General features: G+C 43.7%; 2 protein-coding genes across 6 annotated transcripts in view, besides 5 other annotated features; one reads left to right on the top strand and one right to left on the bottom strand.

Annotated features, from left to right (window-relative positions):
* Positions 1 to 2,150, bottom strand: part of TRIP4 (thyroid hormone receptor interactor 4) — a 67,468-nt gene extending 65,318 nt beyond the window's left edge. For 2 of the 3 annotated variants that reach the window (NR_135855.2, NM_016213.5), the window contains exon 1: positions 2,022 to 2,150. Coding sequence is in view for 1 of the 3 variants with exons in the window: in NM_016213.5 (NP_057297.2) it covers positions 2,022 to 2,122 (101 nt within the window). In the remaining 2 variants the exon portion in view is untranslated. Of the gene's footprint in view, positions 1 to 1,937 lie in introns of all 3 variants that reach the window. The other variant, NM_001321924.2, reaches the window with a different exon arrangement.
* Positions 1,434 to 1,934: an enhancer, noted in NCBI's record as "H3K27ac hESC enhancer chr15:64680251-64680751 (GRCh37/hg19 assembly coordinates)". NCBI's record gives its function as "activates a minimal SCP1, AML or CMV promoter by ChIP-STARR-seq in naive H9 embryonic stem cells {active_cell/tissue: H9 hESC(naive)}" and the evidence as "EXISTENCE:reporter gene assay evidence [ECO:0000049][PMID:30033119]".
* Positions 1,864 to 2,353: an enhancer, noted in NCBI's record as "active region_9567". NCBI's record gives its function as "activates an Ori minimal core promoter by ATAC-STARR-seq in GM12878 lymphoblastoid cells {active_cell/tissue: GM12878}" and the evidence as "EXISTENCE:reporter gene assay evidence [ECO:0000049][PMID:35858748]".
* Positions 1,864 to 2,435: a biological region, named in NCBI's record as "H3K27ac hESC enhancer GRCh37_chr15:64679750-64680250".
* Positions 1,935 to 2,435: an enhancer, noted in NCBI's record as "H3K27ac hESC enhancer chr15:64679750-64680250 (GRCh37/hg19 assembly coordinates)". NCBI's record gives its function as "activates a minimal SCP1, AML or CMV promoter by ChIP-STARR-seq in naive H9 embryonic stem cells {active_cell/tissue: H9 hESC(naive)}" and the evidence as "EXISTENCE:reporter gene assay evidence [ECO:0000049][PMID:30033119]".
* PCLAF (PCNA clamp associated factor) lies at positions 2,299 to 25,682 on the top strand. 3 transcript variants are annotated; one of them, NR_109934.2, is made up of 4 exons: positions 2,299 to 2,539; positions 8,948 to 9,028; positions 13,081 to 13,243; positions 23,911 to 25,682. NR_109934.2 is itself a non-coding variant. In NM_014736.6 (4 exons), exons 1-4 carry the CDS (start codon positions 8,615 to 8,617, stop codon positions 23,954 to 23,956), a joined length of 336 nt encoding a protein of 111 aa, NP_055551.1. In that variant the 5' UTR covers positions 8,545 to 8,614; the 3' UTR covers positions 23,957 to 25,682. The 3 variants fall into 3 exon arrangements, 2 of the variants coding, with proteins under 2 accessions (NP_055551.1, NP_001025160.1); NM_014736.6 differs by lacking the exon at positions 2,299 to 2,539 and adding an exon at positions 8,545 to 8,660; NM_001029989.3 differs by lacking the exons at positions 2,299 to 2,539; positions 13,081 to 13,243 and adding an exon at positions 8,545 to 8,660.
* Positions 8,374 to 8,884: an enhancer, noted in NCBI's record as "H3K27ac hESC enhancer chr15:64673301-64673811 (GRCh37/hg19 assembly coordinates)". NCBI's record gives its function as "activates a minimal SCP1, AML or CMV promoter by ChIP-STARR-seq in naive H9 embryonic stem cells {active_cell/tissue: H9 hESC(naive)}" and the evidence as "EXISTENCE:reporter gene assay evidence [ECO:0000049][PMID:30033119]".
* Positions 25,683 to 27,401: the final 1,719 nt, after the last annotated feature.

The following is a 27,401-nucleotide window of genomic DNA, read 5'->3' as shown; positions in this document are numbered from 1 at the left end:
TCATGCCTGTAATCCCAGCACTTTGGGAGGCTGAGGCGGTTGGATCATCTGAGGTCAGGAGTTCGAGACCACCCTGGTCAACATGGTGAAACCCCATCTCTAGTAAGAATACAAAAATTAGCCAGGCATGGTGGTGCGCGCCTGTAATCCCAGCTGCTCGGGCTGAGGAAAGAGAATCGCTTGAACGTGGGAGGCGGAGGTTGCAGCGAGCTGAGATCGCACCACTGCACTCCAGCCTGGGCAACAGAATCTGTCTCAAAAAAAAAAAAAAAAAAAAGTGAAAATTTTGAACTTATATTCGTAAAAAACACTTTTCTGTTTTATATATTGCAAAGTTTCATTATTTCATTTGATAGCATTCCACTGCTTTAAAAAATGTTTGAAAACTACTAAATACTTAATCTGACTGCGTTCAAGCAAGGGTAAAGCCAAACCATAAGATTTCGCTGTTTTGTTTTGTTGTCTATTCTAGTGTTAAAAAAAATCCTTTATCTTGTTGTTTACTTTTTTTATTTCTGTAGAGACAGGGTCTCACTATGTTGCCCAGGGTGGTCTCCAACTCCCAGTCTCAAGCAATCCTCCCACCTCTACCTCCCAAAGTGCTGGGAATAAGGGCTTGAGCCATCTCCTAGGGCCTCAAAAAAATCCATTAAAATAACCTACTTGAACTGTCTCCTTGCCAAAAGTCTATTTTCTCCGAAACTCAGAAACTCATCTTACTTCCTACAAAAGCCCTAGAACAGCAATTTAGGTTTCAACATCAGTGACCAAGGAATCAAATGAAGGAACACTTTCAGTTCTTCGATCAAGTCCCATTTTTGTAGTTTTCTCCCCTGCCTGAACACTTTGGACCGCCACCTCTGTCTATTCCTTAGTTCTCGGGTGAAAGTTATCCTTTCCAATAAACCTTCCGAGTTTTTCAAATCTTAATGAGAATCCTTTATTTTGTGCTCCAACAAGCCCCTTCATTTCCCCAACCTCAGCACTCATCAACGAAGGGGAACCCAACTGTCTTGTCTTTGTTACCCCAGCACCTGGCGTGTAACAGCAGCGCAACAAATGTTCTTCAATCAGTTGAAAGTAGATATTAAGTCATGTACACCATCTCCATTTCATAGGAGTCATAAAGCATGATAAGCTCTACTAATGATTAATCTTATAAATGAAGAAACCAGGGTACAGAGAGAAAAATTAAGTTGTCCTGGGTTCTAAAACAGGTAAACGACAACAGAATATAGAACCTGAGACTCCAGAGTCAGAAGCTATTTGTACTCTACCACGCTGCTTCCACTTAAATTCTAGGTCCTATTGACACAGCTGACCCTGTTGGCTCTACTGACACAACTCAGATTGGGCCGACTAAAATGTTCAGAGTATATCTGGGTGCGGTGGCTCATGCCTGTAATCCCAGCACTTTGGGAGGTCGAGGCGGGCGGATCACTTGAGATCAGGAGCTGGAGACTAGCCTGGCCAACATGGTGAAACACTGACTCTACTAAAAATTTTTAAAAATTAGCCGGGTGTGGTGGTGCGTGCCTGTAATCCCAGCTACTTGGGAGGCTCAGGCAGGTGAATCACCTGAACCCGGAAGGCGGAGGTTGCAGTGAGCCAAGATCGCGCCACCGCACGCCAGCCTGGGCGACAGAGACTCCGTCTCAATAATAACAACAATAATAATAAATAAATAAAAGAGTAAGGGGTTCAAAGTTAGGAAATACAGTTTGACCTGCCCCTTCTCTCTAGAAAGGAAACTGGCTCCTGGGACAGCCTTGCATTTCTAATTATTACAGATTGGGCGTCTTCCCAGGAAAAAAGCCCGACCGGCAGACTGTGGAGCCGGACACCCTATTCCAGAAACTAAACTACAAAGGTGGAGGCCAAAATTCGACGCCTACAGACTACAGACTGCAGCCCCTTTATCACATTTCTCTCTTAACTTTTCAGTCCTCCCCGCTTCCCGGTTCGCTCAGGCAGTGCACATCCCAGAGCTCCTTCCCCGCTTGGACCCGAACTGTTCTCACTGAATGATCTCCTCGCTGACATCCAGGCCGAAAGTCTTCCGCAACTGCTGGGTGCACCAGTGCACCAGCGGCTCCCCGGACACCGCCCCAGCCACCGCCATCTTCCCCAGCCGGAACCAGCTGAGCTGCAAAAGCCCCACGTCCTGCACCGGACTAGTTCCCTTCGCAACACCAACCTCTCTCACGCGGGTTCCGCCAGCTTGCACCGCCCCGCAAGGTCGCACCGCCTCCAGTGCAGATCCCGCCCATCTGTGCGCCTCCTGCTTCTTCCTGCTTTGTTGTCTACTTCCTTGTGCCCTCCGGAGTCGAGCTCTGTCAGTGCATGATTCTTGCCAATCGCTAAACGTAGGACTCGAGGAAGGCCATTGGCAATTCTGCTAAGAAGACAGTGCAAGTGCCTATAAAAACGACAGTTTAGGGGGAAAACAAACCAATACCCGGAAAGCTGAGAGGCCAGCTTTTTAATCGTCATGGTTTTATGTAAAATAAAACAGCACGTGGAAGGTATTGTAAGCGCTGTAAGTTTTTGCTCTGGTGGTGGTTTTAATTTTTTAATTAATTAATTAATTTATTTATTTATTTTGAGACGGAGTCTCGCACTGTCGCCCAGGCTTGAGTGCAGTGGCATGATCTCGGCTCACTGCAAGCTCCGCCTCCCGGGTTCATGCCATTCTCCTGCCTCAGCCTCCCAAGTAGCTGGGACTACAGGCACCCGCCACCACGCCCGGCTAATTTTTTTTGTATTTTTAGTAGCGACGCGGTTTCACGTGTTAACCGGGATGGAGTGTTTATTTTTAATACCCCCTGTAGTCGACTACTAGATTCACACCGCTAAAACTTCTATTTTATTTTTTGAGCCATGTATTTTCCAGGAGAGCCAAGACAACTCAGCAAGCTCGAGGGTAAAAAACAGTAAAACAGGAGTTGGAATTTGGCTTTGAGGACTTTCCACATGAGTTCTCAACCAAAAATGACAGTATTTAAGGGCTGTCTGCAATTCCCTACCCCGCTAAGACAATGGGCTGGGGAAAATTTAGCCAAACTTTTCTGGAGATCATAATGTCTTCCCATTCATTTCTGGCTTTTTGTTGCATTTGCAGGTTAAAAGTTCTTCATTTCTACTAGCCTGTTTAGACTAAGTGGTCACATTAAATTGGCAGCTGTTTTACCTTTTTGCTAGTGTTTTCATTGGCATAAATATTATAATTAAAATCATGAGTGTATTGGCCGGGCGCAGTGTCTCATGCCTGTAATCCCAGCGCTTTGGGAGGCCGAGGCGGGAGGATCACCCGAGCGCACACGGAGACACACACACAAACACACACACACACACACACACACACACTGGGCGTGGTGGCTCATGCCTGTAATGCCAGCACTTTGGGAATCAGAGGCAAGAGGATCACTTGAGCCCAGGAGTTCCGGACCAGTCTGGGCAGCATAAGGAGAATCCTCATCTCTACAAAAATGAAAAAAATTAGCCTGGCATGGTGGCACATGCCTGTAGTCTCAGCTACTTGAAAGGCTGAGGTGGGAGGATCACTTGGGCCTGGAAGGTCAAGCTTGAAGTGAGCCCTGATTGCACTACTGCACTCCAGCCTGGGCGACAGAGCAAGGCCTTTTTACAAAAACAAAACAAAACCTCATAAGTGTATTGATTTACATTCCATTTAGATTGTCGTAGATATCATTAATTTGGAAAGCAGATGATTTTCCAGGGTTTTTTTTTTTAAGAAAAAGTCAAAATACTCTGTGAATGTTTATTAATTGTGGGTACAAGTTTTGTTTCTTTGTAAAACTCCACTACATTTAATAATAATTGTAAGGTATCAAAGTCATTTACCTGTTTATTTATTCAGTCCCTGTGTTAGGGTTCTCCAGAGACAGAACCAATAGGATAGATAACAGATAGATATAGATACAGATCTATGAGGAGATTTATTAGGGAATTGGCTCAGGAAATTATGGAGACTGAAAAGACCCATGACAGGCCATCTGCAAGCAGGAGACCCTGGAATGCTGGTAGCTGGCTCAGTCCAAGTTGTGAAATCTTCAAGTCTCAAGGTGGAGGGCCTGGAGTTCTGATGTCTGGGAGCAGAAGTCTGAGAAGAGTGTCTCAGCTCCAGAAGGAAGAAATATTTTTTCTCACCTTTTTTGTTCTGGGTCCTTGGTTAATTGGATGGTGCCCGCTCACATTGAGAGCAGATCTGCCCCACTCAGTCCACTGACTCACATGCCAGTCTCCTTTGGAAATACCCTCAAAGGCACCCAGAAGCAATGCTTTACAAGTTATCTAGGTATTTCTTTTTCTTTTTCTTTTTTTTTTCTTTTTCTTTTTTTGAGATGGAGTTTCCTCTTGTTGCCCAGGCTGGAGTGCAATAGTGCAATCTTGGCTCACCACAACCTCCGCCTCCCGGGTTCAAGCGATTTTCCTGCCTTAGCTTCCCGAGTAGCTGGGATTACAGGCATGTGCCACCATGCGCGGCTAATTTTGTATTTGTAGTAGAGATGGGGTTTCTCCATGTTGGTCAGGCTGGTCTCAAACTCCCGACTTTAGGTGATCCTCCCGCCTCGGCCTCCCAAAGTGCTGGGATTACAAGCCCTCTAGGTATTTCTTAATCTGGTCAAGTTGACACCTAAAATTAACCATAACAGTCTCCATAACTAAAACATTAAGTGCTTGAAGGCAGAGACTATGACTTAAGTTTTTTCATATAATATAATTTAGTATGTCATACATGTTATGATAAGTACGTCCTCCAGAATAACATAGGTGGCTGGGTACCGTAGCCCACACCGGTAATCTCAGCATTTTGGGAGGCTGAGGTGGGAGGATTGGTTGAACTCGGAAATTCGAGACCAGTCTGGGCAATATCAGGAGACCCTGTCTCTACAAAAAAAACCTAAAAATTAGCTAGGTGTGGTGGCAAGCTCCTGTGTTCCCAGCTACTTGGAAGAGGATCACCTGAGCTCAGGAGGCGAGGCTGCAGTAAACTGTGATCACACCACTGCACTCTAGCCTGCGTGACAGAGTGAGACCCTGTCTCAAAAAAAGAAAAAGGCATTCTTTTCTCATAAGTCATATGTTAATTATGATGTAATTATAATGCAATTTATTATTACTGTCATTTGTTAAATTACATTTCTGCCTGAGCAATGCAAGCACACCCATTTAGCAAGACTTAAAGATCTCTTTTTTCTTTTCTTTTCTTTTTTTTTTTTTTTTAGACATTCTTGCTCCATCACCCAGGCTGGAGTGCAATGGCATGATCTGGGCTCACTGCAACCTCCACCTCCCAGGTTCCAGTGATTCTCCTGCCTCAGCCTCCCAAGTAGCTGGGATTACAGGCACCAGCCATCATGCCTGGCTAGTTTTTGTATTTTTGTAGAGATGGGGTTTCACCATTTTGGCCAGGCTGGTCTCGAACTCCTGACCTCAGTTGATCTACCTGCCTCTGCCTCCCAAATTGCTGGGATTATAAGCATGAGCCACTGCGCCGGCCAAGATTTTCTTTGGTATAAATGTAGGCAGGCCAGTTGCAGTGGCTCACACCTGTAATCCCAGCACTTTGGGAGGCCGAGGCAGGCAGATCACCTGAGGTCAGGAGTTCAAGACCAGCCTGGCCAGCATGGTAAAACCCTGTCTCTACTGAAAATACAAAAGTTAGCTGGATGTGGTGGCACATACCTGTAATCCCAGCTACATGGGCGGCTGAGGCATGAGAATTGCTTGAACCGGGAGACAGAGGTTGCATTGAGCTGAGATCGTGCCACTGCATTCCAGCCTGGATGACAGAGTGAGACTCTGTCTCAAAATTAATAAATAAAATAAATAAATTTAGGCAGAAATTGTATTGATACATACTGTAACTTTTCTTAATGCCCTAGGCCTTTGAAATTTTCAGGTTCACTCCACACCACTCTCTGTGTTTTATTTCATTATAAAAATTGTGTTTAATTGCTTCTGCAAAGCAAACATTTCAATGAAGAACTTTTACTAGGCATCAGCACTTTTTTTTTTTCTCTAGCATGCATTCTTCATTATCATCGTTGGTGTTAAAATGACAAACATGCAAACAAAAACAAACACACAACTATAGTAATATGTAGACTGCCCCGGGTGGAAATATATATTTGATACTCTTTCTGGCAACTTGCTTGGCAGGTGGGCAAGGAGAAAAGACTATCTTATTCTTTCTGCAGGAATCTGGAATATAAGTTCAAATTAAGTAATTCAGACCTATGTAGAAGCCACTTAAACTGGAAAGGAAATAATGGCATTTAAGAACCACTGTGCTGGCCAGGTGTGGTGGCTTACACTTGTAATCCCAGCACTTTGGGAGGCTGAGGCAGGCAGATCACTTGAGGTCAGGAGTTTGAGACCAGCCTGGCCAACATGGTGAAACCCTGTCTCTACTGAAAATACAAAAATTAGCCGAGTGTTTTGGCACGTGTCTGTAATCCCAGCTACGTGGGAGGCTGAGGCAGGAGAATTGCTTGAACCCGGGAGGCGGAGATTGCAGTGAGCCGAGAACACGCCACTGCATTCCAACCTGGGCGAAGAAGTGAGACTCCATCTCAAAAAAAAAAAAACACACACACAAAAAAACCACTGTGCAATGAGATGGGCCATGAGGACAAAAAACAAAGGAATGCCCTGGGTCTTGTGGATTTTTCCGGTTGATTTGGCTGTAACCTTAGATACCAAGGTTAAGACAAAACTACAGGTAATTGCCAATACATTTTCTATTATTGTGTTAATTTAACCTGTTGCCTAGATTCCTTAAATCTGTGTTACAGAGTGCAGTTGTTGATTCTGTTAAAGTACTGAGTAGCCTAATTCTAAGTTCGAGCAATTCATTGGAGAGAATTAATGCTGTGTTTACACTTCTAGAGTAGCCTTTCAAGTGAGCATTTAACAGAATACATCCCAAAGCAAGTTCATCTGATCCTGTTTTTTGTTGTTGTTTTTAGAGACGGAGACTCGCCCTGTCGCCCAGGCTGGAGTGCAGTAGCGTGATCTCGGCTCACTGCAACCTCCGCCTCCCGGGTTCAAGGAATTCTCCTGCCTCAGCCTCCAGAGTAGCTGGGACTACAGGCACATGCCGCCACTCCCAGCTAATTTTTTATTTTTTATTTTTATTTTTATTTTAGTAGAGACTGGGTTTCACCATGTTGCCCACGCTGGTCTCGAACTCCTGAGCTCAGGCAATCTGCCTGCCTCGGCCTCCCAAAGTGCTAGGATTACAGGTGTGAGCCACCATGCCTGACCGATTCTGTTTTATGTATGGTATTTAGAGAGTGAAAATCACTCCCCAGGGGTGTTGTGAGTAATTAGAAGGTAAGCATAAAGATAGAAAAAAATTATGACCCTTTATCCTAGAGTTATGCTCACTGTGTGACAGCGATGTGGTCTTACCACATTTGGCAGGGTCTTTTCGTTTCGTTTCGTTTCATTTCATTTCCTTGCCTTGCCTTGCCTTTCTTTTCTTTTTTCTTTTCTTTTCTTTCTTTCTTTTCTTTTCTTTCTTTCTTTCTTTTTTTTTTTTGAGACAGGATCTCGCTCTGTCGCCCAGGCTGGAGTGCATGGTGTGATTATGGCTCACTGCAACCTCTCCCTCCTAGGCACAAGCAATCTCCCGTCTCCTGAACTCAAGCCATCCTCCCACCTCAGCCTCCCGAGTAGTTGGGATTACAGGAACATGCCACTGCACCCGGCTAATTTTTGTATATTTTTTGTAGAGACGGGTTTCACCGTGTTGGTCAGGCTGGTCTCGACCTCCTGGGGTCAAGCGATCTGCCCGCCTCGGCCTCTCAAAGTGCTGGGATTACAGCCATGAGTCCCCGCTCCTGGCAGATTTGGCAGATTATTTAGGAGCTCTGACACCATTCGGTTCTCAAGAAGACGTTTTATTAGTTTCTTTTTATGTGTGTATGTATATACAATCCCCCTAGTTTTTGTTTAGTCTCACATCATCCTAAAGACATTTAAAAAAACCCTTGTAAACAAGTTGTATTAGCTTCCTTTTCCCCATTCCATAGAATTGTTTTAGTATGGATGCTGTACAAAGAGTTCATGCCTGGGGGACTAAAGGAAAGTTCTCAAGTTCTTTTAATTTTGATTTGCATCAAAAAGTCCGCTTAATTTCAGGTTTCACCTCCAGGAGTCAATCATTATGGACTTAAAGCTATAGTAACTTTTGAAGATCGTTTGTAATTCGCTGTCTTTGCTAGGTTTTCTTTTCTAAGCAGGCTCATTTCTGTAGTTCAGAAACTTAGCACCCACTAGTCGGGTACCCCTGGAGAGTCCTGGTACCGCCCACCTGGGGCGCCTACGAATCCTAGGCCTTTGCGTGTTGATGGACGGATTCGCGCTGCAAGAAGCCTCGCCGCTGTCACCACTGGGCATTGGCAATTGGTTCAGGGGGAACGGCGCGGAACCAATGGGAGCGGTGGCTCGGGAGAGACCTTGGAGCGCGCGGGAAAGAGACCAATATAAACTGTGGCGGGATAGTTTTCGGGTCCTTGTCCAGTGAAACACCCTCGGCTGGGAAGTCAGTTCGTTCTCTCCTCTCCTCTCTTCTTGTTTGAACATGGTGCGGACTAAAGCAGACAGTGTTCCAGGCACTTACAGAAAAGGTGAGGCGATCGAGTGTGGTACTGGAGGGCGGGGGGGTCCTCCCGGCAGCCTGGCCACGGGCGACAGACGCCAGAGGTCCCCCTGGGCCCTGTGCGCCAAACTCATCTAGCTAGCCAGGGAGTAGCCGCCTGGCCCCTTTACCTAGAAGAGGAAGTCGCAGGGGCAGGGTAAGGTTATCCTGCTGTTCTGGATCGCCAGGCTCTCCTCTCCAAGCTGCTGGGGTCCAGGACTCGGTGTCGGAACCCTCCTGCCCCTTCTGAACACCCTTTTTTGCCTCTCTTCACAGTGGTGGCTGCTCGAGCCCCCAGAAAGGTGCTTGGTTCTTCCACCTCTGCCACTAATTCGACATCAGTTTCATCGAGGAAAGGTAAGAAGAGCCCTCCTAAAGTTAGGGGATCAGTCCTGGCACCTGCAAGCCCCTGGCTTGCCATGAATTTCTTTTTCTTGAGGTACTCACGCCCGAATTTCTTCCTTGCCCTGTGATATAATAAGAGAGGCTGGGCCTTTTGGCCGGCTAGGGTAGAGGTGGGGGGGAGGTCTCATGGAAGGGAATTTCAAGCCTTGGAGTTAAGGACCGACACACCTTATCTTCAAGCCTATTTTTCTTTTCTTTTCTTTTTTTAGACAGGGCCTCTCTTTGTTGCTCAGGTTGGAGTGCAGTGGTGCAATCACTGGTCACTACATCCTCCACTTATGGGGCTTAAGCAATCCTCCCACCTCAGCCTCCAAAGTAGCTGGGGCTACAGGTACATGCCACCACGCCGGGCTTTTTTTTCTATTTTTTGTAGAGATGGGGGTCTCACTATGTTGCCTAAGCTGGTCTCAAACTCCTGGGCTCAAACAATCCTCCTACTGGGATTACAGGCATGAGCCACCACAGCCAGCCTATCAATTTTTGTTTTTTGGTTTAGTATTTTCCTTTTTCTTTCTCTTTCTTTTTTTGAGACAGAGTCTTGCACTGTTGCCCAGGCTGCAGTGCAACGGTGTGATCTTGGTTCACTGCAACCTCCGCCTCTCGGGTTCACACGATTCTCCTGCCTCTGCCTCCTGAGTAGCTGGGATTACAGGTGCACGCCACCACACCCAGCTAATTTTTTTGTATTTTTAGTAGAGATGGGGTTTCACTATGTTGGCCAGACTGATCTCAAACTCCTGACCTCATGATCTGCCTGCCTCAGCTTCCCAAAGTGATGGGAACACAGACGTGATCCACCACGCCCAGCTATTATTTTTCTTAATAATAACAGAGGCTATTTAAATATTGTTAGAGGCTATTTAAAAGCCCCCTTAGTAGATTAAGGGTTTGAACAATCGTTAACAGTGCTGAGTGCTCATTGCAATGTCTACTAAACTTTAATAAAAATGTTTTTGTTTTTGTTTGCTTGTTTTTCCTTTCTTCCTTACTCTTTTTTGTTTGTTTGTTTGTTTGAGTATGATGTCTGTGGGTTTTCTCCAACTTTGCAGCTCCTAATACTGTCTTTGGGAGAGTAGGAGTGAAACCCGGCAAAGGAAATAGCTTCACGCTGCTCCTTCTGTGCGTGGAGTAGATGAGAAAATGCCCTGCCATCTGGTGCCTCATTCCTTTCAGTAGGAAATTTGGCAGACAGGGAGATTAACGCTACAAGATTTAATTAAGAACATAAAGGTGAACACTGTTTAGGACTTCATGGGTTTTAAAGTCAATTCAAATTTCTCCCTATTATAAACATTTCATTAGAAAACATTTACTATTTCTATCTCTTCAGATAAAAGGAAATAGAAGTTGATGAATTTTTTTAGAGTAACTTATACCCTGTACCACTAGACTAAGTTTCTTTTTCTTTTCTTTTTTCTTTTTTTTTTTTGAGACAGGGTCTCACTCTGTTGCCCAGGCTTGAGTGCAGTGGTGCAATCACAGCTTACTGCAGATTTGACCCCAGGGTTCAAATGATCCTCCCACTTCAGGCTCTTCCCAAGTAGCTGGGACTGTAGGCGCATGCCACCACACGCCCGCCTAATTTTTGTGTTTTTTGTAGAGATGGGGTTTCATCACATTGCCCAGGCTGGTCTCGAACTCCTGGGCTGAAGCAATCCTCCCGCCTCAGCCTACCAAAGTGCTGGGATTACAGACGTGAGCCACCACGCCTGGCCTGATGAAATTTCATTAGAGCCGCATCTCATCGTCTGGTCCACTGTTGAATCACCAGAGCCAACTAAATAGGCCCTTACTGAATATATGTTGAATAAATGCATCCTTTAAGGCATTTTAAAAATCTCTATTTTTAATCCGAATAATTGGATGTATGAAATGGGTAATATCCTTATTTTAAAGATAAGGAAATTTAATATCTGGTTATATAACTTGATAAAGGTCACACAACTAAATCAGTGGAGTTGGGTTTGAACCTGTTGCTGCTATATTTTTTTTTTTTTCTGAGACACAGTCTCGCTCTGTCACCCAGGCTGGAGTGCAGTGGCATGAACTCGGCTCACTGCAACCTCCGCCTCCCGGGTTCAAGCAATTCTTCTGCCTCAGCCTCCTAAGTAGCTGGGATTACAGGCATGCGCCACCATGCCTGGCTAAATTTTGTATCTTTAGTGGAGGCAGGGTTTCACCATGTTGGCCAGGCTGTTCTCAAATGCCTGACCTCATGATCCAACTGCCTCGGCCTCACAAAGTGCTGGGATTACAGGCGTGAGCCACTGCGCCCAGCTGCTGCTGTATGTTTTCTAGTAGTAAAAGCATTCCTGTAAGGTTCCTTTGGGAAAACTGTGAACCAAAAGATCACTATCTTTTATATGCCATTCCTTCTTTTGGAGGCGAAGGCGGGACGGTTGCCTCAGCCAGGAGTTTGAGACCAGCCTGGACAACGTGGCAAAACCCCATTGCTATTTTTATAAATGTAAATAAATAAGTAGAAACAATATAACTTCAGAGTCTATATGGAAACAACTTTTGTAAGCATTCTTTAACAACTAGAGTTGTTAAAGCAAATGTTTTAGCTTAAAGCAAAAGATTTGCAGTAACTGAATAATTTGTTCCTGGTCATTACTTTATAAAAAGGCAAGAATTTTCCCTCAATTTCTCCTTATATTACTGTTGAAAAATAACCAGGAATTGGCCGGGCAGGGTGGCTCACACTTGTAATCCCAGCACTTTGGGAGGCCAAGGCGGGCGGATCATGAGGTCAGGAGATCGAGACCATCCTAGCATGGTGAAACCCTGTCTCTACTAAAAGTACAAAAAATTAGCCAGGTGTGGTGGCGGGCGCCTGTAGTCCCAACTGCTCGGGAGGCTGAGGCAGGAGAATGGCATGAACCCGGGAGGCGGAGCTTGCAGTGAGCCAAGATCGTGCCACTGCACTGCAGCCTGGGTGACAGAGTGAGACTCTGTCTCCCCCCCAAAAAAACAAAAACAAAACAAAAATTAGCTGGGCGTGGTGGCGGGCGCCTGTAATCCCTGCTACTCGGGAGGCTGAGGCAGGAGAATCACTTGAATCCGGGAGGCAGAGGTTACAGTAAGCCAAGATTGCGCCACTGCACTCCAGCCTGGGTGACAGAGCTAGACTTTGAAAAAAAAAAAAAAAAAAAAAAAAAACACCAGGAATTGGACTTCTCTTATGAACTGAAAAGGAGCCAGGTGCTTTGAAAAATGGAATCTACTTTTGTGGAGACTTTCACATTGCCTCTTATATGTGCTTTAACTAAATGACCTTAGTAAGTAAAATGTTGGCACTTTATACTACATGGTCCTATCTTATGTTAGGAAAAAGTGTGTCAAACTTCAGTATGTCAGTACATACAAGAATATATATATATATATATATATATATATATATATATATATATATATATATTTTTTTTTTTTTTTTTTTGAGACAGAGTCTCGCTCTGTTGCCAGACTGGAGTGTGCAGTGGCGGCGCAATCTTGGCTCACTGCAACCTCCGACTCGCTGGTTCAAGTGATTCTCCTGCCTCAGCCTCCCAAGTAGCTGGGAATACAGGCACGTGCCGCCACACCCAGCTAATTTTTGTATTTTTAGTAGAGACGGGGGTTTCACCATGTTGTCCAGGTTGGTCTCGAACTCCTGACCTTGTGATCCACCCTCCTCAGCCTCCCAAAGTGCTGGGATTACAGGCGTGAGCCACTGGACCCGGCAAGAGTATTTGAATAGCTCTGCTTGTGGACAAAATATAAAAATATTTTTCAGTTGTAAAAATTCTGTTACTACTGTTATTGCTAAGATAACCATCACACTGAGTTTATTGGTGGAATACAGCTTTATTGTGTCACATTTTCTAATTCTTTAAGTTGTATATCTTAAATAAAGATTATTTAATACCTTTGAGAATTTGATGTTAAAGAAGGAATTAAGTTGTTTAAGGAATAGAGATTGTATTATTAGCACTTATCTAGTTCCATCTGTTTATATTTTACAGCTGAAAATAAATATGCAGGAGGGAACCCCGTTTGCGTGCGCCCAACTCCCAAGTGGCAAAAAGGAATTGGAGAATTCTTTAGGTTGTCCCCTAAAGATTCTGAAAAAGAGAATCAGATTCCTGAAGAGGCAGGAAGCAGTGGCTTAGGAAAAGCAAAGAGAAAGTAAGTTTTTATATTCTGGAATATAAAGAAAATATTTATCTCACGCCTGTAATCCCAGCACTTTGGGAGGCCGAGGCGGGAGGATCACTTGAGGCCAGGAGTTCAAAACCAGCCTGTCCAACATGGTGGAACCCTGTCTCTACTAAAAATACAAAATTAGCTCGGCGTGCTGGTGCACACCTGTTGTCCTAGCTATTTGGGAGGCTCAAACAAAAGAATTGCTTGGTGCAGCAAACCACCATGCACACATATACCTATATAACAAACTTGCATGTAATGCACATGTATCTCATTTTCACGCCACTGCCCTCCAGTCTGGGGGACAGAGTGAGACTCTGTCTCAAATAAAAAATTAATTAATTAATTAATAAAGAAAATATCTTGAAAATAAAGGACAAATAGGATATTGAGTCAAGTTTCTCTTCAAGCTCATAAGAAAATGCAAAAAAAGTTTTTAAAAACTTCTTCTAATTTCTTATTATAACTCACTCCCAAATTTCTTTTCTTTTTTTTTTCCTGAGACGGAGTCTTGCTCTGTTGCCCAGGCTAGAGGGCAGTGGCGCTATCTCAGCTCACTGCAACCTCCGCCTCCCAGGTTCAAGCAATTTTCCTGCCTCAGCCTCCCAAGTAGCTGGGATTACAGGCACACGCCACCACGCCCAGCTAATTTTTGTATTTTTAGTAGAGACAGGGTTTTGCCTTGTTGGCCAGGCTGGTCTTGAACTCTTGACTTTGTGATCTACCCACCTTAGCCTCCCAAAGTACTGGGATTACAGGCGTGAGCCACTGCATCCAGCCAGCAAATTTCAAACATTAGTAAAAAGTATTCTTTTTACTCTTCCCAATCTCTCAAAGAGGATCAGTTCCCATTCACATAAGTGCTATGTCATTAACCATGAACTTAGTGTATTGAGTCTTTAATTCTTACTGTCTTTTTCCTTTAGGCTTTTCTTACAAGGCAATTTCCTTGTTGGCTTATATAACTTGAATTCCATTAATCCTGTCCCTTAAAAAACTACCAGTTCAACTTGCACAAGAAATATATAACCAGGCTGTGTGCGGTGGCTCATGCCTGTAATCCTAGCACTTTGGGAGGCTACAGTGGGCAGATCGCTTGAGCTCAGGAGTTCCAGACCAGCCTGGGCAACATGGTGAAACCCCTTCTCTACCAAAAGGGTGGCGGCGCCGCCTATAATCCCAGCCACTAGGGAGGCTGAGGTGGGAGAATTGCTTGACCCTGGGAGATGAAGGTTGCAGTGAGCCGAGATCCCGCCACTGTACTCCAGCATGGGTGGCAGAGTGAGGACCTGTCTCAAAAATAGGCCTGGCACAGTGGCTCACCTCTGTAATCCCAGCACTTTGAGAGTCCAAGGCAGGCAGATCACAAGATCAAGAGATCGAGACCATCCTGCAACATGGTGAAACCCCGTCTCTACTAAAAATACAAAAAATTAGCCGGGCGTGGTGGCACGTGCCTGTAATCTCAGCTACTCGGGAGGCTGAAGCAGGAGAATTGCTTGAACCTGAAAGGTGTTGGTTGCAGTGAGCTGAGATCGCACCACTGCACTCCAGCCTGGGGGACAGAGCGAGACTCCATCTCAAAAAAAATCAAGTAAAATAAAAATAAAAATATGACCAATATGGAAAAGTTGGAAAATATAGAAATCCCCATCACCTAGAACCAACTAGGAATAATACCATGGTGTATTGTCTTTACAACTTCTCTGTAAGTACGTAAGAATAGTGAAAAACAAAAAGTAGGGATAAAACTACACACACCAAACTTGGTGTGCAACCTTTAAAAAAAAGTTTCCGAGTTTCATCCGTTGTATTTCATGAATATCTCATTCCTTTTTTCCTTTTTTTCTTTCTTTCTTCCTTTTTTTTTTTTTTTTTGATATGGGGGTCTCACTCTGTCACCCAGGCTGTAATGCAGTGGCCCAATGTTCGCTCACTTCAACCTCTGCCTCCTGGGTTCGATTGATTCTCCCACCTCAGCCTTCCAAGTAGCTGGAATTACAGGCATGTGCCATGGAGTTCAGCTAATTTTTTGTGTTTTTGGTAGAGATGAGGTTTTGCCACGTTGCCTAGGCCGGTCTCAAACTCCGGAGCTCAAGTAATCCACTTGCCTTGGCCTCCCACTGTGCTGGGATTACAGGCATAAGCTGCCACACCTGGCCAGTGTGCAAACTTTTTTTTTTTTTGAGACGGAGTTTCGCTCTGTTGCCCAGGCTGGAGTGCAGTGGTGCAATCTCGGCTCACTGCAACCTCCACCTCCCGGGTTCACACCAGTCTCCTCCCTCACCCTCCCAAGTAGCTGGGACTACAGGCGCCCGCCACCACGCCTGGCTAATTTTGTTGTATTTTTAGTAGAGATGGGATTTCACCGTGTTAGCCAGGATTGTCTCAATCTGACCTCATGATCTGCCCGCCTCGGCCTCCCAAAGTGCTGGGATTACAGGCGAGTGCAACCACACCCGGCCACAAACTTTTTAAGAAGTTAATGAAACCATACCTTTTACATTTTTAATGACAGGAAAATGCTCACAATAATTGTTAACCCAAAATTCTGGATACAAAAGTACAATCTTTACTGTGTAAATACATGTATATGTACTATATGAAAATATACCAAATATCAATAATACTTATCTCTGGGTAAAAACCTCTTCTCATACCCTGTGCTAACAACTTTTAACAAAAAATTTGCATCACTTTTAAGAATCAAGAAAAATTTCTGAAGGTCATATGGGACAGAAAAAAAAACCAAGGGAAAAATCACGCCACTTGGGAAAAAAAGATTCGAAATCTGCCTTTTTATAGATTTGTAATTAATAAGGTCCAGGCTTTCTAAGCAACTTAAATGTTTTGTTTCGAAACAAAGTACTTGTCTGGATGTAGGAGGAAAGGGAGTGATGTCACTGCCATTATGATGCCCCTTGAATATAAGACCCTACTTGCTATCTCCCCTGCACCAGCCAGGAGCCACCCATCCTCCAGCACACTGAGCAGCAAGCTGGACACACGGCACACTGATCCAAATGGGTAAGGGGATGGTGGCGATGCTCATTCTGGGTCTGCTACTTCTGGCGCTGCTCCTACCCGTGCAGGTTTCTTCATTTGTTCCTTTAACCAGTATGCCGGAAGCTACTGCAGCCGAAACCACAAAGCCCTCCAACAGTGCCCTACAGCCTACAGCCGGTCTCCTTGTGGTCTTGCTTGCCCTTCTACATCTCTACCATTAAGAGGCAGGTCAAGAAACAGCTACAGTTCTCCAACCCATACACTAAAACCGAATCCAAATGGTGCCTAGAAGTTCAATGTGGCAAGGAAAAAAACCAGGTCTTCATCAAATCTACTAATTTCACTCCTTATTAACAGAGAAACGCTTGAGAGTCTCAAACTGGACTGGTTTAAAGAGCATCTGAAGGATTTGACTAGATGATAAATGCCAATATTAAATCTGTTGGAGTTTCACGTATAAGACAGAGGAGAAAGAGAACATCAAAAATTACTTAGCAAGCTATGGAATGGAGATTCAGTTTTCATTTTAGTTTGTTAAATCTACAAGGCTGTAAAATGATTAGGTAATAGAAAAAGCTTCCATGATTCTATTTATTATATATGTGCATTGGAAGAAACTACCAGGTGTTACTATAAATATTCTATGTATTGTTTCAGCCATCCTAATTTAATGCTGATATGCTCTAGATTTACATTGCTAAGTTTTCACTCTTCTCTTGGGCACTTAACTCTGTTTCTTTTGTTTGTTTGTTTTGAGAAGGAGTCTCACTCTTGCCCAGGCTGGCGTGCAGTGGTGCTATCTTGGCTCACTGCAACCTTCGCCTCCTGGGTTCAAGCGATTTTTGTGCCTTTCTTGAGTAACTGGGATTACAGGCACGTGCCACCACATCCAGCTAATTTTTGTATTTTTAGTAGAGATGGGATTCACCATGTTGGCCAGGATGGTCTTGATCTCCTGACCTTGTGATCTGCCCGCCTCGGCCTCCCAAAGTGCTGGGATTACAGGCATGAGCCACTGCGCCTGGCCAAGGGCACTTAACTCTTTAGGGCTTTGGATTTGATTTGCCATTGCATTTGACTTTCTTTTCTTTTCTTTTCTTTTTTTGAGATGGAGTCTCGCTCTGTCGCCCAGGCTGGGGTGCAGTGGCGCTATCTCGGCTCACTGCAAGCTCCGCCTCCTGGGTTCATGCCATTCTCCCGCCTCAGCCTCCCCAGCAGCTGGGACTACAGGCGCACGCCGCCACGCCCGGCTAATTTTTTGTATTTTTAGTAGAGACGGGGTTTCACCATGTTAGCCAGGATGGTCTTGATCTCCTGACCTTGTGATCCACCCGCCTCGGCCTCCCAAAGTGCTGGGATTACAGGTGTGAGCCATCGCACCCAGCCCTGCATTTTACTTTCTATGTGGTAATTGAAGTGTGCCAGAGCAATGATAGACTGGAATTTACTCCAAATCCAAGCATGACTAATTCTTGCATATACACTTAAAAGTGAAATAGTAGGCATTTCCTATCACCCATTCCAATTCAACAAGAATGCCAGATTTAGTTACGATACTTAACTGGATTCCAAAAATTAGAAGTGCATTGACTTCAAGTAATTTTAAAATAGTGCCTTTTTATCTTTGTGTATGTCAAATAATTTTCACAACTTAAAAACTGATTTTTTTGTGTGCAGGAGGTGGGTTAAAAGTTGATTTCCTTTGAAGGCGTATTTGATTAATCTTGAAATTAAGAGGTGACTTTGTACATGTTGAATAATTTTTACAACTTAAAAATTGACCATTTTTTGTGCAGGAGGTGGGTTAAAAAAAGTTGATCTGGGCCAGGTGCGGTGGCTAATGCCTGTAATCCCAGCACTTTGGGAGGCCAAGGTGGGCAGATCACTAGAGGCCAGGAGTTCGAAACCATCCTGGAGAACATGGTGAAACTCGGTCTCTACTAAAAATACAAAAATTAGCTGGGTGTGGTGGCACACACCTGTAATGCCAGCTGCTCAGGAGGCTGAGGCAGGAGAATCACTTGAACCCAGGAGGTGGAGTGAGCCAAGATTGCGCCACTGCACTCCTGCCTGGGTGACAGAGCGAGACTCTGTCTCAAAAAAAATTGATCTGTTTTGAAGTCATATTTGATTAATCTTGAAATTAAGCGGTGGGCTGGGCACGGCGGCTCATGCCTGTACTCCCAGTACTTTGGGAGGCCTAGGCCGGCGGATCACCTGAGGTCAGGAGTTTGAGACTAACCTGGCCAAAATGGTGAAACCCCATCTGTACTAAAAATACAAATATTAACTGGGCGTGGTGGTGAGTGCCTGTAATCCCAGCTACTCAGGTGGCTGAAGCAGGACAATCACTTGAACTCAGGAGGCAGAGGTTGCAGTGAGCTGAGATCGCGCTACTGCACTCTAGCCTAGCCTGGGCAACAGAGTGAGACTTCGTCTCAAAAAAAAAAAAGCCAAGTGCAGTGGCTCACGCCTGTAATCCCAGCACTTTGGGAGGCCGAGGTGGGCGGATCACGAGGTCAGGAGATCAAGACCATCCTGGCTAATACAGTGAAACCCTGTCTCTACTAAAAATACAAAAAATTAGCCGGGGATGGTGGCAGGCACCTGGAGTCCCAGCTACTCGGGAGGCTGAGGCAGGAGAATAGCGTGAACTCAGGAGGCGGAGCTTGCAGTGAGCCGAGATTGCGCTACTGCACTCCAGCCTGGGCGACAGCGCGAGACTCCGTCTCAAAAAAAAAAAAAAAAAAAAGAACATGAAATAAGCAAAATAACAAATCTGGTTCTGTATTTGCAAAGTGAAGACCAGAAATTTGTCTGCATTAAATTCACAATGCTTTTGTGCTCTTTCTGTAAATACTTAAAAAAAAAAAAAAAAAAAAAAAAAAACAACTTTATGAGTCTGAGTAGCTACATTTGGGACACTTTCTATAATTAGTCAATATTTTTAGATAGAGCCTGGGCCTAAGCATAAGTGGACTTGATTCTGGTAAGTAAAACTTTTACAACTGCCTTGATGTATAGAAGCCTTTTTAGAAATAGACACTCCAGCCTGGGTGCGGTGGCTTGTGCCTGTAATCCCAACATTTTGAAAGTCCAAGGCAGGTGGATCACCCAAGGTCAGGAGTTCGAGACCAGCCTGGCCAACACGGCGAAACCCCCGTCTCTACTAAAAATACAAAAATTAGCTGGGCTTGGTGGCAGGTGCCCATAATCCCTGCTACTCCAGAGGCTGAGGCAGGAGAATCACTTGAACTCGGGAGGCGGAGGTTGCAGTGAGCCGAGATCATGCCATTGCACTCCAGCCTGGGCAACAGAGCGATAATCCGTCTGAAAAAAAAAAAAAGAAATACGTACTCCATGAGGCCAGGCATGCCTAGCACTTTGGGAGACTGAAGGGGGAGGATTGCTTGAGCCCAGGAGTTTGAGACCAGCTTAGGCATGGTCTCTACACAAAAAAAAAAAAAAAAAAAAATTAGGTGGGCATGGTGGCGCACACCTGTAGTCCTGACTACTCTGGAGGTTAAGGTGGGAGTCGCTTGAGCCCAGGCATTCGAGGCTGCAGTGAGTTATGATTGTGCCACTGAACTCCAGCCTGGGTGACAGAGCCAGATTGTGTTTCTATTAAAAAAAAAAAAAAGGACACTCCATGAAATCTTTGGTTCACATGGTCACACACTGATGCTTAGTTGTTCCTGTATCCCATATGGCCATAGTAGCTTTAATAAGTCTTAAGGCAATATTTGCCATCTTTAGAAACCTGCATGGGAACAAGCAGATCCAACAGATCTTGACCTATGGTATGTGTGACTGAACAGTCCCTTTTGCTTCTTATTTGTACATTCTATATCTGTTACATCTGTTTTGGATTGTACATTGTGTTTGGAATGGATTTTCATTGAACACAAACTAGATAAAAATAGATGGCTGAAAGAGTAATTAAAACAAAGTATTTGACATATGAAAGCATATAAAATATTGAGAATTATTCATTACAAAAATTAGCCAGGTATGGTGGCACATGCATGTGATCTCAGCTACTGGGGAGGCTGAGATAGGAGAATCACTTGAACCTGGGAGGCAGAGGTTGCAGTGAGCCGAGATCACTGCACTTCAGCCTGGGCAACAAAGTGAGACTCCATCTCAAAAAAAAAGAAATTATTCAGTGCTGTTCATAAGCTCATTTAGTAAATAGTAATTGAGTGTCTATGATCCATGTTGTGAGATTAGCAGCAATTAAATCTTAGGCTTTGTTGTTATATCACTATCATGATTTCTGGTTTCCATAAAAATCAACCAAAGGGATACCCTTTTTTTTTTAGAGACAGGATTTTTTTTTTTTTTTTTTTTTTTTTAAAGAGACAGGATTTTGCTCTGTTACTCAGGCTGGAGTGCAGTGGTGAGATCATAGCTCGCTGTAGCCTTGACCTCTTGTACTCAAGCAATTTTCCCACTTCAGCCTCCTGAGTAGCTGGGACTATAGATGCATGCCATTGCTCCTGGCTAATTTTAAATTTTTAGTAGAGACCAGGCCTTGCTATGTTGCCTAGGCTGGTCTTGAACTCCTGGGCTCAAGCAATCCTAACACCTCAGCTTCCCAAAGTGTTGGGATTACGGGCCTCAGCCATGATGCCTGGCCCCAGAGGGATACATTTTGGATAAAGCTTTTTAATAGTTTTGCTTTCCTGATCCAATAAATTTCTTTTAGTTCTCTGTCATTGTCTGGCACCTTTCTTCCTCGTTCTTTTTTCCAACAGGAACAAGCTGATAGTCAAGACTAGCTTTAGAATATATTTCAGACTTCTTGAATTACCTGTGACTTACATCAAGGAAATAAAATATTTGGCAATATAGCCAAATGTGACTATAACACTGATCATCACAGGAATAAAACCTATATTATAGCCTTCCCACCATATGAAAAGAGATTACACATGTATTCTCATAAAGAACTTTAATCCATGGTATTATAAAATCTGTGACATAAACCTAGGTAATAGAGGTTTATATTATTTCTTTAGGTCCTGTTCTTAGATTTGCCATTGTTTAGGAGGATTGTAATTACCCCTTTATTGAAATAATAAATGAGTTTATTAGAAGGATTTATGATATAAACTCTCTATGGAATATAGTTATTCCCATGGCCTTATTTTTCTCCCAAAGGCAGGGTAAACTCCCAGCAGTTGCGTGGGGGAAGAGTCAGAATCAAGGAAGACTATCTACTTAAACCTTTAACAGAGTTATGATGCCTAAAGTAAATCAGGCGCTTGCACAAAGGAAGTCTGGGTTATGATAATGTTCATTTGTTAATTTGATTTAATTTCCAGGAAAATACAATGAAGATATCTTTGTTATCTAATACTGAGTTAATGATAATCTTATTTTGTTTTTGTTTTTTTTACTGAGACAGAGTTTTTGCTCTTGTTGCCCAGGCTGGAGTCCACCTCCTGGGTTCAAGCGATTCTCCTGCCTCAGCCTCCTGAGTAGCTGGGATTACAGGCACGCGTCACCATGCCCAGCTAATTGTTTTTGTATTTTTAGTAGAGACAGGGTTTCATTATGTTGGCTAGACTGGTCTCGAACTCCTGACCTCAGATGATCCACCTGCCTTGGCCTCCCAAAGTGCTGGGATTACAGGCATGAGCCACCGCGCCGGGCCAACGATAATCTTATACCAAATCTGAGTGCCTTCATTTTCACTTCCTTCTTTCACTACCTGGTTCTGCCCATCAAGGATTGCTGGATCTAATTTGAAAACCAAGAATTTTAGAGTAGATCTTACAAATCTTTGTCAGCTCTAATAAACCAAAAAAAAAAAGTAGTTTTTGATTAAGTTTTGAATTGACTTTTCCTCCATAAAAAGTGTAATGAGGCTGGGCACGGTGGCTCATGCCTGTAATCCCAGTACTTTGAGAGGCCAAGGCAGGCGGATTATGAAGTTAAGAGACCAAGACCATCCTTGCCAACATGGTGAAACCCCGTCCCTACTAAAAATACAAAAAAATTAGGTGGGCATGGTGGCGTATGTCTGTAATCCCAGCTACTTGGGAGGCTAAGGCAGGAGAATCGCTTGAACCCGGGAGGCAGAGGTTGCAGTGAGCTGAGATCGCACCACTGCACTCCAGCCTGGCGACAGAGCGAGACTCCGTCTCAAAAAAAAAACTATAATGGGTACAAAATGACTTTGTTTTTTGTTTTTTTTTTTGGGTTTTTTTGAGACAGAGTTTTGCTCTTGTTGCCCAGGCTGGAGTGCAATGATTCAGTTTTGGCTCACGGCAACCTCTGCCTCCTAGGTTCAAGCAATTCTCCTGGCTGAGCCTCCCAAGTAGCTGGGATTACAGGCACCTGCTACCATGCCCGGCTAATTTTTGTATTTTTAGTAGAGATGTGTTTCACCATGTTGGCCAGGCTGGTCTCGAACTTCTGACCTCAGGTGATCCACCCGCCTCGGCCTCCCGAAGTGCTGAGATTAGAGGCACGAGCCACAGGGCCCTCCCTGACTTTGGGATAATGTAAATTATTTTTCAAAAGCTACAACTATTCTATGCTAACAATTTTGGGGTTTTTCTTTTTTCTTCTTCTTTTTTTGTTTTATTGACACAGAGACCTGCTCTGTTTCCCAGGCTGGAGTGCAGTGGCACAATCAATCATGGCTGACTGCAACCTTGAAGTGATCCTCCTGCCTCAGGCCTCCTGAGTCGCTGAAACTATAGGGATGTGCCACCACGACCAACTAATTTTTTTTTTTTTTAGACAGGCTCTCTGTCCCCGAGGCTGGAGTGCAATGGCACAGTCTCAGCTCACTTCAAGCTCCACCCACCATGCTCAAGCGATTCTCCTGCCTTAGCCTCCCAAGTAGCTGGGATTACAGGCACACACCCCCACTGCCCGGCTATTTTTGTATTTTTAGTAGAGATGGGTTTTCACCATGTTGGCTAGGCTGGTCTCGAATTCCTGACCTCAAATGTTCCACCCACCTTGGCCTCCCAAAGTGCTGGGATTACAGGCGTGATCCACCGACCCCGGCCTGATTTTTTATTTTTTGTAGAGATGGGGTGTCACTAAGTTGCCCAGGTTGGTCTCAAACTCTTGGGCTCAAGCAATCCTCCTGCCTCATCCTCCCAAAGTGCTGGGATTATGAGTGTAAGTCACTGTGTCTGGCCAATTTGGGGTTTTTCCTAATTAGTTAATGTAATCACATGGTTCAAAAGAGTATATATAGTCAAAGGACAACTTGCTATATGTTTTCTCTGCTAAAGTGGATTGGTTAATTTTTTTACTTTTTGTTACCACAAAGTTCTTGCTGAAGGATTATATTGTTTATCAATCCATTTAATAACATGTTGAAATAATATGCTATATAAATAGATTCTTTTTTTAATAAAAATTACAACGTAGTCTAAAGGAGAAACACTGATTCTGCAAATTAACAGGCAAATAAATTGTTAAAAATTTTGTTGCATTAATACTTGAAATTTGTAGGTGTTTGTTAATTAATGAAGTTTAATTTTCTTTCATTTCTAGTCATTAGACCAGATCTACTGCACTGTTAATTAATGTTCCTGATTTATATAGGTTTGTAACTATTTTTTTCAAACAGTTGATACTTGGATGGCTATTGATGTTCTCTCTTCTTTTCACAGAGCATGTCCTTTGCAACCTGATCACACAAATGATGAAAAAGAATAGAACTTTCTCATTCATCTTTGAATAACGTCTCCTTGTTTACCCTGGTATTCTAGAATGTAAATTTACATAAATGTGTTTGTTCCAATTAGCTTTGTTGAACAGGCATTTAATTAAAAAATTTAGGTTTAAATTTAGATGTTCAAAAGTAGTTGTGAAATTTGAGAATTTGTAAGACTAATTATGGTAACTTAGCTTAGTATTCAATATAATGCATTGTTTGGTTTCTTTTACCAAATTAAGTGTCTAGTTCTTGCTAAAATCAAGTCATTGCATTGTGTTCTAATTACAAGTATGTTGTATTTGAGATTTGCTTAGATTGTTGTACTGCTGCCATTTTTATTGGTGTTTGATTATTGGAATGGTGCCATATTGTCACTCCTTCTACTTGCTTTAAAAAGCAGAGTTAGATTTTTGCACATTAAAAAATTCAGTATTAATTAAACATTACTTATTCTACCCTCTTTTTTGGCAAGGAGGACAAATACGCAATGTTGGAAAACCTTGGATGGATATCTTCTCTTTAAAAAAATGTAAAGATAATTTGGTCTTGAGGGTTTAAACGGTTGATAATGCCTCTACAACAACAAGAAAAAAGATAAAATACTAGGATAGAATCATGGTGGGCACAGTGGCTTCTCAGGAGGCTGAGGAGGGAGGTTTGCTTGAGTCCAGGAGTTGGAGACCAGCCCAGGCAACATAGCGTAAACCCTATCTCTAAAACAATTTTTAGCCGGGTGCGGTGGCTCACGCCTGTAATCCCAGCACTCTGGGAGGCCGAGGCGGGTGGATCATGAGGTCAGGAGATCGAGACCATCCTGCCTAACAAGGTGAAACCCCGTCTCTACTAAAAATACAAAAAATTAGCCGGGCGCGGTGGCGGGCGCCTGTAGTCCCAGCTACTCGGGAGGCTGAGGCAGGAGAATGGCGTGAACCCGGGAAGTGGAGCTTGCAGTGAGCCGAGATTGCGCCACTGCAGTCGGCAGTCCGGCTTGGGCGACAGAGCGAGACTCCGTCTCAAAAAAAAAAAAAAAAAAAATTTTAAAAAAGGCTGAGTGCAGTGGCTCACACCTGTAATCCCAGCACTTTGGGAGGCCAAGGCAGGTGGATCACCTGAGATAGGAGTTCAAGACCAGCCTGGCCAGCATGGTGAAACTGTCACTACTAAAAATGAAAAAATGAGCCAGGCATGGTGGCACATGCCTGTAATCCCAGCTACTCAGGAGGCTGAGGCAGGAGAATCGCTTGAACCTGGGAGGTGGAGGTTGCAGTGAGCCCAGATTGTGCCACTGCACTCCAGCCTGAACAACAGAGTGAGACAATGTCTTAAAAAAAAAAAAAGAAAGAAAAGAAAAAAATATATATTTATATATGAACAATAAAAAATTAGCCTGGCATGGTGGCACACACAGTGGAACCAGATCCCATCTCTTAAAAGAAATTTTCCTAGGATTTGCATTTGATTCGCTATCATAAAATATAATTTTAAAGTTGGAAGTCAATATAACATGAAAGGCAAATCATGCCATAAACCCATAGGCATGGCAAAACTCCTAAGAGCTACTATGACATTTTTCAACATAACCAGAGGTATAATTGAAGAAGTGGGTATAATATTCCTCATCACCCTTTTTGCAGCAGCCTGTTGTCAAAAGTAATCATATTTTAGTAGGCATATTTTTCTGAAATACGTTTGTAATAAATGCATACTTATTTTTACAATACACTATCCATTTGTGTGCTTCCTAAAATTATGTCCTATTTTATTCTTTCCAAATACAAATCAGAGCATTGACCTGATTTTAACACCTTCCAAACTGTTTGAGTCCGAATGATTGTAGATTATATTTTTTGCTTTGTCTTTTAGAGGTGGATATTATTAAACAGTATGTTATTGAATTGGGAGCTGAGTTCAAGTACTTATTTGATAATTAGGTTTATTTTTAAGGAGTAGTTTAAACAAAATATCTTGAAGTCAAGTTTTAATGGATCTGACACTTCATTTGCTATTTTTCTTTTCTTTTCTTTTTTAGATGGAGTCTCGCTCTGTCACCCAGGCCAGAGTGCAGTGGCTTGACCTTGGCTCACAACAACTTCTGCCTCCCAGGTTCAAGCGATTCTCCTAACTCAGACTCCGGAGTAGCTGGGACTACAGGTGCTCGCCACCACGCCCAGCTAATTTTTGCATTTTTAGTAGAGGCAGGGTTTCACCATGTTGACCAGGTTGGTCTCCAACTCCCAACTCCTGACCTCAGGTGATCCGCCTGACTGGGCCTCCCAAAGTGCTGGGAATTTTTTTTTTTTTTTTTTTTTTTGAGACAGTCTCACTCTGTTGCCCAGGCTGGAGTGCAGTGGCGCAATCTTGGCTCACTGCAAGCTCCACCTCCCAGGTTCACACCATTCTCCTGCCTCAGCCTCCCTAGTAGCTGGGACTACAGGTGCCTGCCACCATGCCCTGCTAATTGTTTTTGTATTTTTAGTAGAGATGGGGTTTCACCCTGTTAGCCAGGATGATCTTGATCTCCTGACCTCGTGATCTGCCCGCGTCGGCCTCCCAAAATGCTGGGATTACAGGTGTGAGTCACTGCAGCCGGCCAAGATTCAAATTTTTTAGAAACAATTACATGCCTACATTCAACTTCAGTCTGGGAGCAGTGGCTCACGCCTATAATCCCAGCACTTTGGGAGGCCGAGGCAGGTGAATCACCTGAGGTCAGGAGTTCGAGACCAGCCTGGCCAACATGGTGAAACCCTGACTCTACTAAAAGTGCAAAAAAAGACTGGGCATGGTGGCTCACGCCTGTAATCCTAGCACTTTGGGAGGCCAAGGCGGGCAGATCATCTGAGGTCAGGAGTTCAAGACCAGTCTGGTCAACATGACGAAACCCCGTCTCTACTAAAAATACAAAAATTAGCCAGGTGTGGTGGCGGGCACCTATAATCCCAGCTACTTGGGAGGCTGAGGCAGGAGAATCACTTGAACCCGGGAGGCAGAGGTTGCAGTGAGCCCAGATCACGCCACTGCACTCCAGGCTGGGTGACAGAGTGAGACTCTATCTCAAAAAATAAATAAATAAAATAAATAAATAATAAAAATGCAAAAATTAGCTGGGCAGGGTGGTACATGCCTGTAGTCCCAATTACTCAGGAGGCTGAGGCAGGAGAATCACTTGAACCTGGGAGGTGGAGGTTGTAGTGAGCCGAGATATGCCACTGCACTCCAGCCTGGGCCACAGAGTGGGACTCCGTCTCAAAAAAAAAAATTTTTTCAAGTATATATTTGATGATGTTTCACTTTCATTAGGCAAATTTATACATAATGTTTCCTTTTCGAAGCATTTTCAAAATGTAGCATGGCCACTTAGCTTTTCTAAACAGAAGGGAAGTATAGACCCCTTCTTTTCATTGAAACTGAATTAAAAAGTAAAATCTACCCATTAAGAAGATA

Source organism: Homo sapiens, chromosome 15 (assembly GCF_000001405.40).
Source record: "Homo sapiens chromosome 15, GRCh38.p14 Primary Assembly".
Classification (NCBI taxonomy): domain Eukaryota; kingdom Metazoa; phylum Chordata; class Mammalia; order Primates; family Hominidae; genus Homo; species Homo sapiens.
This window is presented reverse-complemented; position numbering and strand designations above follow the sequence as displayed.